At 35.3% G+C, this 13656-nt stretch overlaps 1 protein-coding gene across 2 annotated transcripts in view; it reads right to left on the bottom strand.

Moving 5' to 3' along the window:
- PREX2 (phosphatidylinositol-3,4,5-trisphosphate dependent Rac exchange factor 2) overlaps window positions 1–13656 on the bottom strand; it is a 284987-nt gene that overhangs the window by 70600 nt on the left and 200731 nt on the right. For both annotated transcript variants that reach the window (NM_024870.4, XM_047422267.1), the window contains exon 35: window positions 8997–9111. In NM_024870.4, coding sequence (NP_079146.2) covers window positions 8997–9111 — 115 coding nt within the window. The remainder of the gene's footprint in view (window positions 1–8996; window positions 9112–13656) is intronic.

Below are 13656 nucleotides of genomic sequence, written 5' to 3'. Positions count from 1 at the left end.
AGCTTGGCCCAAATAAACTCTCTACTTATATTAATTTTGCTTTCGTTTCTTCCTTTTAGGTCGACATATTTGGCATAACTTGGCAGATTTCAGAGTGACTCCCCCGGACCACCTGGTGTTTTTCTCTGAAAGCAGGGCTTGGTACCAGCACAAACATTCCATCTTCAGAAGTCCTATTGGGTGTTTCAGGTGAGTTCACCTGAATTCAGACCTCCCAGTCTTTGGTCAAAGGTCTATACTTTATTTGGGCTGTTTTTCAAACCCTCTCTCTTTCCTTTACGAATGAGGGCTTCAGTCTCTGTCTTTAGACAGATGATTCAGGCAAAGAGCTCTGCAGAGAACTGCCTCCTTCAGCCTGTCTCAGGACCAGGGTCTTCAGGTCAAAGTTTTCCTGCCCCTGTCTATAGCAGAGGTTTGGGTAAGGATTGCCAGTTAGGCACCAGTGGTCTGGTTTTACACAGCATGCTTTAAAACATTGCAGATACTTTCCTATTTTTGAAATTTGGGCTTCATTTTTCATCTGTGACCAACTCCTATTAAACATCAGCTGAATTTATATATAACACTATGGACATCTTCTTGTAAATATCTAGGAAAGTGGACCCACCTAACATAGAATAGTCAAACAATAAACCTTGCCAAAACTGGGGATCTTTTGAAATACCTAAAATAATTTATTTTTGTGCACAATAAGAAAAAGCTGGTTTTGGAACCAGATAATTAAAGACCTACTTCCAATGGTACTGAAAAAAAAACTTCTAAAAGAAATCCTGAGACAATTGCCTCCATTCAGGAGGTAAACAGTACATACCCATCACCACCACCACAGGGAATTCCCTAGGTGTTTGACTCCCTCCCTGAAACTCCTCTTGTGACATAGTGACTCCAGTCCTGGAGTCGCTGTGAGCAACTTCTGGTTCTGGGGAATGCCTGGTTCTCAAACTATTCTTTGCTCAACTAAAAAACCCGTCCGTGAAAACACCGAGGGGATGGGGGATAAAAAAAGAGAAACTTAAGTAAATAAATAAATGAATAAAAACACCACCCAATGAACAAGATGGGTCTCCAAAATACACCTTTGTTGCCTAGCTGACAATTGCTTAGGTCGATATAACAGGTAATTAAAAGACTAATAGTCTAAAATGGGGAAATGAATGAAAATAAAAGTACTGAGATTATAAACATGTAGATCCGACCATTTTCTTTAAACCAAGACGAATTATTGATGCTGATGTTGAAATGCTAACATCCAGGGAATGAGCTGAGGCAGCACTCCTGCTGAGATTACATCTGAATCAAGTTAAAATCCTCTAAATGCTCAAACAGGCTGCTTTGAATACCCAGCAAGATTTAAAAACCAAAAAAAAAAAAGGCAAAAGTAAGAAAGCCTTGTACTCTGTGGTCTAGTGGCTATGATTTTGTGCTTTTACCACCAGGGCCTGGGTTTTACTCCTGATTAGGGAATTAGCTCCTTTTGGTTTAATATTTTTGTGACTTTTGACTTTGCTACTCAGGAGAGTGCCTTTGGTAAAAAAAAAAAAAAAAAGGTTTGGCCGGGCTCAGTGGCTCACACCTGTAATCCCAGAATTTTGGGAGGCCAAGGCGGGCAGATCACCTGAGGTTGGGAGTTCGAGACCAGCCTGACCAACATGGAGAAACCCTGCCTCTACTAAAAATACAAAATTAGCCTGGCGTGGTGGCACATGCCTGTAATCCCAGCTACTCGGGAGGCTGAGGCAGGAGAATCATTTGAACCCAGGAGGTGGAGGTTGAGGTGAGCCAAGATCGTGCCACTGCACTCCCGCCTGGGCAACAAGAGTGAAACTCTGTCTCAAAAAAAAAAAAAAGAAAAAAGAAAAAAAGAAAGAAAAAAAAGCCAGATCACCAGCTGTTTTTCTTGGCTATAATCTGATAATAAAAGATTTATTAAAATGTATTTTTTAAAAGGATGCTATGGTCAGAAGTCAGCTTGACTAAAAGCTGATATTCAAGTACACACACACACAAACACATTATATACATATATTAATATATATAGTGTGTGTGTATATATATGTGTGTGTGTGTATATATATATATATAATACATATTAAGGCCTTTCTGCTTTTTCTCTTTGGATCCTGTTTTGGGGACTACTATTTTCCTGTGGATGGAAATCCTTCATTAATTATCTGCTGGTTCCCTCTGCTTACTTTCTTTCTTAAAAATTGTTCTATTGTTTACTTCTATTCTTTCCTGACTCCTTTTTCCTCTTTGCCATCTTAGGTACCACATAAAATGATCTGGGAGAGATATCTAATGACTCAGACTGTTTAAGAAACACAGAAAAAGGTGCCACTGACCCCTTTTTTGGGTCATCTGTCTTCCTGTAAAGTCTAGAGAGTCATGGACAGATTCGTCTGAGGTCTCATACCCTACCGCCGTCTTTTGTACTGTGTTACCTGATCTCGTTGGCTTTCAGGACTACCAGAGATTACTTTGTACTAAGAGAGAACTTGACCTTGGTGTATGTGATGACTGGAGAGTCACTGGCAGAACTGCAGTTTTGGAGGTGGCTGAGGGCTATTGTTTACAATAAATGGTTATTGCTACAGGACACTACTCATTTCCTTGGGAGTTTAGATGAGACAGGTGAGGTTTAAACCTTGGAGAAATGTCTTTGTAGCACAGTGCACTGTAGAAGCATTGCTTGGCCTGGTCCCATGGTGTTTCCCTTTCTTTGTGAGGGGAGAATCCAGGATTCAGTGCAAAATTAGAATGCTTGATTTAAAAAAATCTAATTGCTCTGCCTTCCAACTGTGACTGCTTTTCACGTATTTAAATTATTCAGCTTTAAAAACTGCAAATACTTTGTTGACCCTGTTCCTTAATGGGCTCCACCTTAAGCCCATTTGGAAAACAGACACTAAATTAAAAGCTACCTATCTAAATGAAATTGGCCTCCTTATGAAATTCTATGGTAAATTCCTATGATTTTGTGTTACCTTGAAATTCATTTTTAACCTTCCTCTAACATACCCAAATTCATTCTTTAAAAATATTACATTTTCTATCTTTGATTTGAGATGCAAATTTGCTACCCTGTTTCTCTAAAATTCAGTAAGGGCTTCAGCCACATGAAACAGATAAACTTTAACCTTTTCCATTTACAAAGACACAGTTTGAATACAACTGTCCTTTTAAACTAGAGAGTTTTATCTGACTCATGGCTAAAGTTTTAAAACTAAACCTATAAGATCTTTATGACTGCCTGTATTTTTGTGTATACATGTGTACACATCTTTTTTTTGTATGTTGTCTATAACACCAAACTGGCTTGTACATAAGTGTACCCATAAATTAAATAACTAGACCAAATGCTTTTCAAATTCACACGATTTTAGTAATCTTTGGTAAATAAAGATAATTTAAAAATTGTTGGTAAAATAAAATAGGAAGAGCTTCATAATTTGGACATTTTTGTCTGTGTTTGCTGGTCAGACAAGTTTATACTATCTCTGCTAGATATTTTAAGGTCATAAAACTGTAGCTTGTATGATATTTTAAAATATTTGCTTAATTTGTCTGTGAGCTTATGTCTTTGGATTTGAGCATGTAGATCTGGGATCTGGACAGATGGCCACAGTGAGGTCTGGGGACAAGTCCTCAGAGCCTAGACCACCAACTAAAATGCAAAATAAAGCTTAACATGGCCTCTTTCTCCCTGGCCCAGCTTTTCCTCCTGGCCATGCTGGGAGGGGTCCGATCCTCCAATCATACTCTTCACAGCTCTCTCCTCTGTTCTGAGCTCTGTACTTGGTGTGGAAATTCAGGAACCAGGTGAGCCATTCTCTTCATTGCCATCTTTGGATGCCATGTAAATATTAGGGACCTAGGACAACTGGGGAAGACATTATAGAGGGTACCTGTTTCATAATTTCCTAATTCTTTTCAGTAATTTAAAAGTCTTAAGATTGTGTTATGTTAAATTAAGTAATAGCTAATCATAAAATGTCTGAGTCATTTCTAAGTAAGTTAAAATACTGAAACATTAATTGTTAAACATAAATTCACATTTATATACTTTAATATCATATTTCTATATGGCATAGTAAAACTAAATATATTTAGATCTGTTAGTAAACAGAAATTGAGAAAACCTCTTTCTAAGGAATTATAAAATGGTTTTCATCAAAAAATACTAGTATAAAATCGTTCAAAATTACTTACTTTTTAGGTTTTTCACTGAAAATTAGTGACTAGGTTAAAACTGTGATATGGTTTGGCTGTGTCCCAACCTAAATCTGGAATTCTAGCTCCCATAATCCCCACATGTTGTGGGAGGGACCAAGTGGGAGGTAATTGAATTATGGGGGTGAGTCTTTCCCATGCTGTCCTCATGATATTGAATAAATCTCAAGAGATCTGATGGTTTTCTAAATGGGGGTTCCCCTGCACATGCTCTCTCTCACTTGCCTGCTGCCATGTAAGATGTGACTTGCTCCTTCTTGCCTTCCACCAGGATTGTGAGGCTTCCCCAGCCATATGGAACTGTGAGTCAATTAAACCTCATTCCTTTATAATTACCCAGTCCTGGGTATGTCTTTATTAGCAGTATGAGAACAAACTAATGCAAACTGTAATCAGTATGTGTAACTAAAACTACCAGATATAAGAGAAACATGTCTATATACAGAACATATAAAGAAAATACGATGTAAAGAAAGTTGAAAAGATAGAGTAATTTTTTTTTTTTACTTGAGAGAGAACTTTATATGGTCACAATAAGGGAGAAGGGAAAGTAAATTTTTGTCCTATGGTAAAATGTAGGATACAACTGATGTTTTAAGCAAGCTGTAGAAGGTTTGCGGAAGATGGATCTTGTGAAAGAAATTTTGTGTGTGATCAAGTTGGCTGAAATTAAAAGGGGATTATTTAGTTTTTCTAAAAACTTAACATTAATATTAAAAGCACACTGATGCAGGGTCAGGATCTGGGGCGTGCTATTAGAATAACAGGGTTTTCTTAGAGCATTGTTCTGCTCTCTAATAGAAAATTTTAGGCCAGGCATGGTGGCTCACGCTTGTAATCCCAACACTTTAGGAGGCTGAGGTGGGCAGATCACGAGGTCAGGAGTTCGAGACCAGCCTGGCCAACATAGTGAAACCCCATCTCTACTAAAAATACAAAAATTAGCCGGGCGTGGTGGCAAGTGCCTGTAGTCCCAGCTACTTGGTAGGCTGAGGCAGGAGAATCATTTGAATCCAGGAGGCAGAGGTTGCAGTGAGCCAAGACTATGCCATTGCACTCTAGCCTGGGCAACAAAGGGAGACTCTGTCCCCCCCCCAAAAAAAAAGAAAGAAAGAAAGAAAAGAAAAGAAAATTTTAAAAGGTTATAAAAGGTTTATGAAAATCTTATCTTGTGTGGTCAAAGCTGATTAAGATTGGATGGATTTGTTTATAAGGTTTTATTAAAATAACTTTACCATTAATAATACACTGATGCAAAGGTAGAACTTGGTATTTTCTTTTGAATAGGATTTTTACACAATATTAATGAGATAATAAAAATCTTTTGTTTACCTTTTGAGTAAACTGTCAAAAAAGAGAAAGATTCTGTTGGTCTCATACTGTCTTTATTAGGTATTTTGATTTTTTGAAAAACTAAGTCTTCTCTCTATCAAAGAATAAAGATTTTTGCCTTTTGAAATCTTGGAATTATCATTTTGGCTAAATGAATCTCATTTTGTAGTTACTTATGATCCTATTTTGAACAAATGTTTTAAACCTTTAATATTTGACATACTTCCTCAAATCACATTTCAAATTCTAAAACTGTGTTTCCCAAAGTAACCCCTGTAAGTCCAAGACAGACATATTAGGCTTATTTGGTATATTACATTCATACAGGAAGTACTATCAAATAAGAAATGGTGTTTAGCATTCTTTGGGTATATTTATATAAATGTGTTAGTAATATGTGTCCTAAAATTATATGAGCTTTCTAAAATTCTGGTTTGCCTTGATATATGTTATCAGTGATAATTATGCTTATTATGTTAAATTATTATAGGCCACAGACATAAACAAATTTACTTTTCAATTGTATATATAACTATGATGATTTTAAGTCATTTGCACAGTTAATTACTTAATTCTGATGCATCTTCTAAAAGATCTCTACAAGCAAGTAAAATTCTAAAGTGTTGTGTCTTCAAAGAAGTTCATGCAAGGATGGAAAAGACTGATGTGAATATAGGTTTCTGATTACTTGGAGATCATACCATTGGACTAAGAAAAAACTTCCAGGATTCTAACTGAAGAGCTGATATGTTCATGAGAATTGCTAACCCAACATCAAGTGGAACAAGAATTAATTCCATGAGACTAAACTAATAGAGGACTAAAATAATTTTTAATGATTTTTTTGTTTGAGATATTGCTGATGCTTTTTATGTTTTATTTTCTAGAGTCAAGAAAACTATTTTTTTTCTTTGTGAGCCATTTACAGCTTATAGCAATTGGGTGAAGTATACTTTTGTGAGTAAAGCCAAAACAATTGACTTTCTCTGTATCACATTTCTCCAAAATTTGGGAACTATTTGTGAGTACTCTTAATTTCTAGCAATGTAGTTGTTTATATAAATTCAACAAAAATCTGTATTCTTTTTTAAGATACATAATTAGATATACTGGTTCTTTTACTGAAACTTTGACTGGAATGGCATAGTTTCAGATATAATCAGACTGCTTTGAGGAATTGATGTGGACTTTATAGAGCCAATTAAAAAAACCCTTGGAAAGACTGGTCTGGTACTTTGTCTGCACAATTCCTTTATAAGGTTTCTGTCCTCATGGTAACTAAAGAATGTCACTTTCTGACAGGACCAGGAACTCAGGTTATTTTGGGATCTCAAGAAGAGCAGAGTTCACCCATTTTTTACAAGTACTGCAGACAGTCTGAGGGCAAATCCTTGGATTGGCTGGCCTTGGGGCTTTTAAAAGCTGAATCTAAAGCTACTGTGGAAGTCCCGGTAAAGCCAACTTAAAAGAGACTATATGGCCATTCACTATTCTTCTTGCACTTTATGCAAATAAGTAGGCAAAGCATCATAACACTAAAACTTATTTTGCAAATAAATTGGTTCAACTAAGATTTGTCTTTGGTAAAAATGGAGAACTGGATAAAGAAAAAATGTTTCAGAAAAAAACTATAGTATGCCGGTTATTAGATTCTAGTCTTGTCCATTGTTTTTGAGTTTTATTATTTGCCTACAATTTGGATTAAATCTTGAATTACTTCCCAGCTATGAGTCTCTAAAGAAGAACCTGGATTTAATTTTCTTCATGATATTTTTAGTTGACTGCCTAATGGAATAGTTCTGTCTTTGTTGCTGTTCTGGCATTCAAATTTTATTTTTAGTTATAATCCTTACATGGATTATATTTCCACTATCTCTTGTTGTTTTCCTTCTTCTGATGAAACTAAATTGACGATACTCTGAAGTCTAGCTACGATTCAACAAGCAACAGCAGCCATAAATCAATGACTTTGACAGAACTACTTGGGAATGAGCCTTCCTGATGATGGACACCTTGAAACTCAAATTTTGATCATCAATGCTGTTAAGAAGAAAGATTTTTGATCAAAAGGGGGAAATGAGAGAAGAAAATAACTTTCATCTGAGGAATGCAAGCTATTTTAATTAACAGGCCCAGAGAGACATTAAAATGAAACAGCAATTACATCCTCCTAGTCCCTTTGCGCTATGTATTTATCTCTTGAAACTGCTGGCTATCACCATAAGTAGCTGTAACTTAACATAAAGATGCCACACTTGATGCTACAACCCACACCCTAGAGCTTAACAATGCATAGCCAACCACTTGTCAATGTTATTTCTGTAAATCAGTGAGAATGCCTGACAAACAACTTTGTATCAGCTCACTCCTTGTCTCCCATTTTTTCCTTTAAAAATCTATTTGTAATTGCTGCTAATTTGAGTGAACATTCAGAGCAATTTGAATCTATGCTCCTGGCTTGCAATTCTCAAGCTTGGCCCAAATAAACTCTCTACTTATACTAATTTTGTCTCAGGTTCTTCCTTTTAAGTTGACAGGACAAAAAATTAAAAATGTCAAAATAGTATTTTTGATTTATTAAGGCTCAAGATAGAACAAAAATATTTTTTCTTTTAAAAATAAAAGCCTTAATTTGTTAAGTTTTTAAAAGTGATCTGTCAACAGGGTAATTCATAAGATAAGAAGGAGATATGTGTGTGTGAATATATATACACATATATATTCATATATGTGTGTATATATATATACATATATATACACACATATATATACACATATATATGTGAATATATATATACATATATATATTCACACACACATACACTAATAATTTGTTGACAAATAAAGCTTTTGAATTATAACACATTTCTTTTCACTTACTGTGGTTAATTTTCCCTGTCATTTATCATTGTACCAGTAACACTATTTTTTGGGGGGAAAAAGACAGTAAAATGCAAGCATTAAGGGACACATTTGAAAGTACATATTTTTCCAATACCAAGCACATGATCAATCATATCTTCCATGCTGAACACATATTCTTCTCTCTGTGTGGGGGTGCCAGCTATTTGGTGGTACATAGAGAAACCTGTTTTACCCTTAATCCAATAAATCTTATAGGGGACACCACTATAACATATGTCAGTGATTTTCTTTCTTGGAAACGGTCTACTACATATTTAACCCCTTCTCTTTATCTCTTCAGAAATTTTTAAATTTGCATAAAAATGCCAACACACTTTTACTTAATTATTTTTACTGGGAAAAAGTATAACAAATTAGAATATTTAAAATATTAAACCCTAAATCCGAGGAATTTATATCAAAAGAAATGTCATTAATAATCTAATATGATAAATAGCATCAAAAGTCCTATTAATACATTTCTATCAAAATATAGACACTCATTATTTTTCAGTTGGATTGTTACATACCTGAGCTTCTGGTTGTACTGTTTGACCTTTTCCAGTGAGGCTGCATTTATCTGAGCTTGAAATTCTTCCACAGAAACATTGTCTCTGTAATAATATCCTTCCATGCTCTCTAGTGCTGTGTAAACAAGTAAACATATTTTACAAGCAACTTTATAACTCAATTTCTCCACGTGTAGTATAATTTTATTGATTATTAGTAAATTTAGCAAATAGGACCAATTATCAACATATATGCAAAAAAACTATGTTAGGTCCAAAAATGAATGAAAACTGTTCTGCTCTCAAAATAAATATCAAACATTTGGTGATTTTTCTGTCCAATGGGCAAAGAAAATTTCTGGTTTAACTGTCCTCTATTTTTAAAACATTTTGTATATGTTGTGGGAGCCCAAAATATGCCGCTCCAAAATATAACTGTAGGAGACCAGAATATATCACCCCAAAATATGCCTCATTGGCATAAGGATTATTTTGATCTGGTTATTTTGAGAAACTGCACGCAGACACAGGAGAAACTCTGAAAACCGAGTAGAAGTTTCCCTTTGATAAGGAAAATTTACATCCATAAAGGAAACCTCTACTTGTAACAGTGTCTCCCCCTCTGTACTAGGAAGAGAAGGAAGATGATCACAGATAGTTTTATCTGCACAACAAATCTTACCCTTTTTTTTATGGTGCTTTCCTGGTCACCTCCCCATAACTGGGCCTTCCCTAGACCCTTCTTCTCAGTAGAAAATGGTTATATTTAAGCCTAAGTTCAAAGCTACCTCTTTCAGATTTAGTCACTATTCCTTAGGTATCTCCCATGTATACATGAGGTATACCTGTTATTAAACTTCTGTTTGTTTTTCTCTTGTTAACTTGTCTTTTGCTATGGGGACCATCCCAACGAAGAACTATGAAAGGTAGAGAGAAAATTATTTTTCCTCCCCTACAACATTCTTTGTGAAGCTAAACTCACACTTCCAATGTATTTGATATTTATACACACACGTCTATTACATATGACACATATATGTACATATTCGCAACATATGTATGAGAGGCAGAACTGTGCATTAACGTATGTCAGAGGCCTGGCACAGTGGCTCATGCCTATAATTCCAGCACTTTGAGAGCCAAGGCTGGTGGATCATTTGAGGTCAGAAGTTCAAAACTAGCCTAGGCAACATAGCGAGACCCTGTCTCTAAAAAAACAAAGTTAAAAAATTAGCCTGGCATGGTGGCATGCACCCGTAGTCCTAGTTACTCAGGAGGCTGAAGTGGGAAGATAACTTGAGCCCAGGATTTTGAAGCTGCAGTAAGCTAGGATCGTGCCACTGGACTCCAGTCTGGGGGACAGAGTAAGACTCTGTCTTCTAAAACAACAGTAACAACAACAAAAACATGTCAGAGTAAAAAAATGGAAATTTTCACTCCCCATGCATATTCACATTCTTGTATAACCTTCATTAAGAAATATTAATGTAATAAAAAGTATAAATTGAAATCTTAGAAAATCACCTCTACTCAAATTGTCAATTTAGTTATAATATCTCACTAATTTTAAATGTATTTTGAAAAGCATATAAATTTCCTTTTTAATAACATTTTTGATTCAGTATTTTTCCTTTAACCCTTATGAGGTATCATTTAAAAAATTTTGGAGAGGAAATAAATCACAGGACAAGGGCCCAGATATACAAGATTTCCTGTGGAAAGGTTGCCAGTAACAGGAATGGCTATGGATCCAAGTTGGAAATGTAAATTATTTTCCCTTGAAATGCATCACTACTTATGAGCCTCAATTTTTAATAAACAATTTCAAAATTCAAAACAATCTTCTTTCAAGACTGCTAAATGCACTAGTTTCTAAACTAAATCACGAGATTTCTTTAAAGTGAAAGAAACTATCACCATTTTGAGGGGGGGAAATAGGAAACTGACTGCTCATTTTAGCTGTGCTATAGTTTTATTAAACTAGTCAGAATTCCAGAACACTGAAGAAAAACAATAAAATTTTAAAGATCCATGTCAAATTTGCAGATTTTTTTTAAATGGAAATTTAAAAAACCAGTTTATACTTGAGAAAAGCAATTGTGGAAGATTAGGGAGAAAACATACTACATTTACTTCAGTACAGAAAATGAAATTTGTGTGCTTGTTTCACAGATTTTTAATTTGTTTATTTCTTATGGCTTCTGGGAAGGAGCCCAGGAAACTTTACCCTTAAAATATGACACTTTGGTATACTGATTACTTTAAATTAAAGGCTTCTGCAAGTCAGCAGATATTGGATGAGGCTTTTCTCTGATATGCCCTATCTACCTTAAGACTAGACCTGCAAAAGAAAACACAATTGCTTTCCCTACCCTCCCTGGAAATCTCATTATCTATCCTAGAAAAGAAGACTGTGGAATGTAACCCACCTAGAAGGACTTTTCCCACAAGATAATATCTATTTCTCCAGCTCATTCAAATTCCAAGACAATCATTTACAAGTTAATTTCTGTCTCTTGGGCCCATTCATTCTCCCTAATAAACATTTTACTGCCTCCTACATTCCCCACCTCTCCCATCGCCTATGAAGAAGGGTATATAAGTATCTGGACCTCACTGAATTATTGGGTAATCACTCTCCCATGATTTTGCCCCGTGCACATTCAATAAATTTTGTATGCTTTGTCTCCTTATTAATCTGCCTATTGCAAGTTCATTTTCAGCAACCCTTCAAAGGGAAAAGGACAGGCTTTCTCTCTTAGAGCCTACATCTTCGTTAATTAGAATAGTTGTAACTGGCTCAACGAAATTCTGGTCCTGAATACACACAGGAAATAAAAGAAACTCTCCCTGATAAAATAATCCTTAAATACATGCCATGTTCACAAGCTGCTATTTAGGAAAGGTAAATATCCCAGGAGGATTCAGTCTGTCAATAGTCATACTTCAAGATAAATTACTCTTAACAGCTGGAAAGCTGATGTATTAGAGTAAAATTCCAGTTTCTGCTGTGTGACTTTGGTCAAGGTAATTAATATCTGAGATTCTCAGGTTCTGCATTTTTGACTTGCAACATAAAAGTACCTACTAATTATGGTTAATGAGAAAGAATTTAATTAAATACTAGTATTAAGACAGCTCATGAGTATTCTTACTTATTGAATGAGTTTTATTTACTAGGCAACATGCCAAATGCTGTACAGGTATTACCTAATTTAATTCCAAAGAGATACTGATTATGCAGAGTGTGCTTAGCCAAACACAAAGTTTGTAGGACTAAGAGAAGGGTCCATGCAAAAACACTTTGATTTGTGACTTAAAACCAGAAAGACAGGAAGGAGAACAGTGGGATGGCACAGCAGTGGAACTGTGAGGGGAGAGGGCTTGGGGGAAACCACCTGGGAACTAATTTTTGTAAAGATCTTGATGGTTCAACTTTGGCCAGAATGGCCAGTCCTGTCCCAAATTTTATATAAGAACAAGTATGTAAACATAATTTAATATAATTTTAATGAATACTTCTACAATCTCATAAATTTCCATTTTCATTACATTTTTGACAATATTATTCCAAATTAACAAGGCAGTTAAAATTCACAATCACATAACATTTTTTAAAAATTGGAAAAGTGCCTAACAATTTTGCCAAGAGTCTTAGTAAGAATTCTGTGTCACATGTATAGGGTTGTGGGGAATGAACAAAAAAAGATGAGTTTTATATTTAAAAACTAAAATTTGTATGACAGAGAAGAGGAAAGATGACAACATTCCCTATTTTAGCTAAACAACTTGTTTATTTATTGTTATAAAAAACCCAGAATGACATTCTACCAAATTAAATAACATGTTAATTTCAAACATGTTAAATTTGGCATTTCCTTGTCTAATTTCCTTAGTTCTCATCCATAAAATAATATATTTCTCAAAAGCAGTATCAACATACTTGGTTGAATATTTAGTTTATTTACTTCTACTACTTTTCAAGTAGAGGAAGAAAAACATTCCATTAAATTTAGGTAGTCAGCAAAAAAGGAAAACCTAATGAATGTTAGAGAAAATTAAAGATTAAATTATTCTTAGACTGAAGCGGGCTACATTTCCACTTACTCAAAATACCTTTCAAGGCTTTCCCAAGAAAGAGATTAATCAGGAAAAACATAGAATCTCTGAAGAATAATTTTAAGAACAGTGTCAGTCTGCTAACATTCTCTTTTGATAGCACACTTGTTTGGTTAAATAAGACACAGCACACGCACTGCTAGAATTCCCCAGAAATGGTCACCATGGGTCATAATTCCTCAGAATTGGTCCCAGTTATTGGGAGAGAAGCAAGATTTGTTGATCCCATTATGACATGTGAGAATGGCCGTGTGATACATAATAATGTTTTGTGATTCTAAATGTCTTGAAATGGAGTCATTTATGACAAGTCACTCAGCCCACAGTGAAACTGCTGACCCTTCAAAGTGATAAGCACATGTATGGTGGACTGAGGTGATAAGATGACACCTCCCATGGCCAGGCACCTCAGAGACACCACAGGAAAGTGAAGCTAAAGGGGCTGAGATGATGACTACGGACACACTCCTGTGGAGATCCATAAAAACAGCAAGAAACTGACAATAGTTGAGATGCCTGCAGAAGCTTTGCCAGGAGAACTCTGAGGCCTCCTCGCCATTGG

Source organism: Homo sapiens, chromosome 8, assembly GCF_000001405.40.
Source record: "Homo sapiens chromosome 8, GRCh38.p14 Primary Assembly".
Classification (NCBI taxonomy): Eukaryota; Metazoa; Chordata; class Mammalia; order Primates; family Hominidae; genus Homo; species Homo sapiens.
The sequence above is the reverse complement of the archived record's forward strand: the minus strand, read 5'-3'. Positions and strand labels throughout refer to the sequence as shown.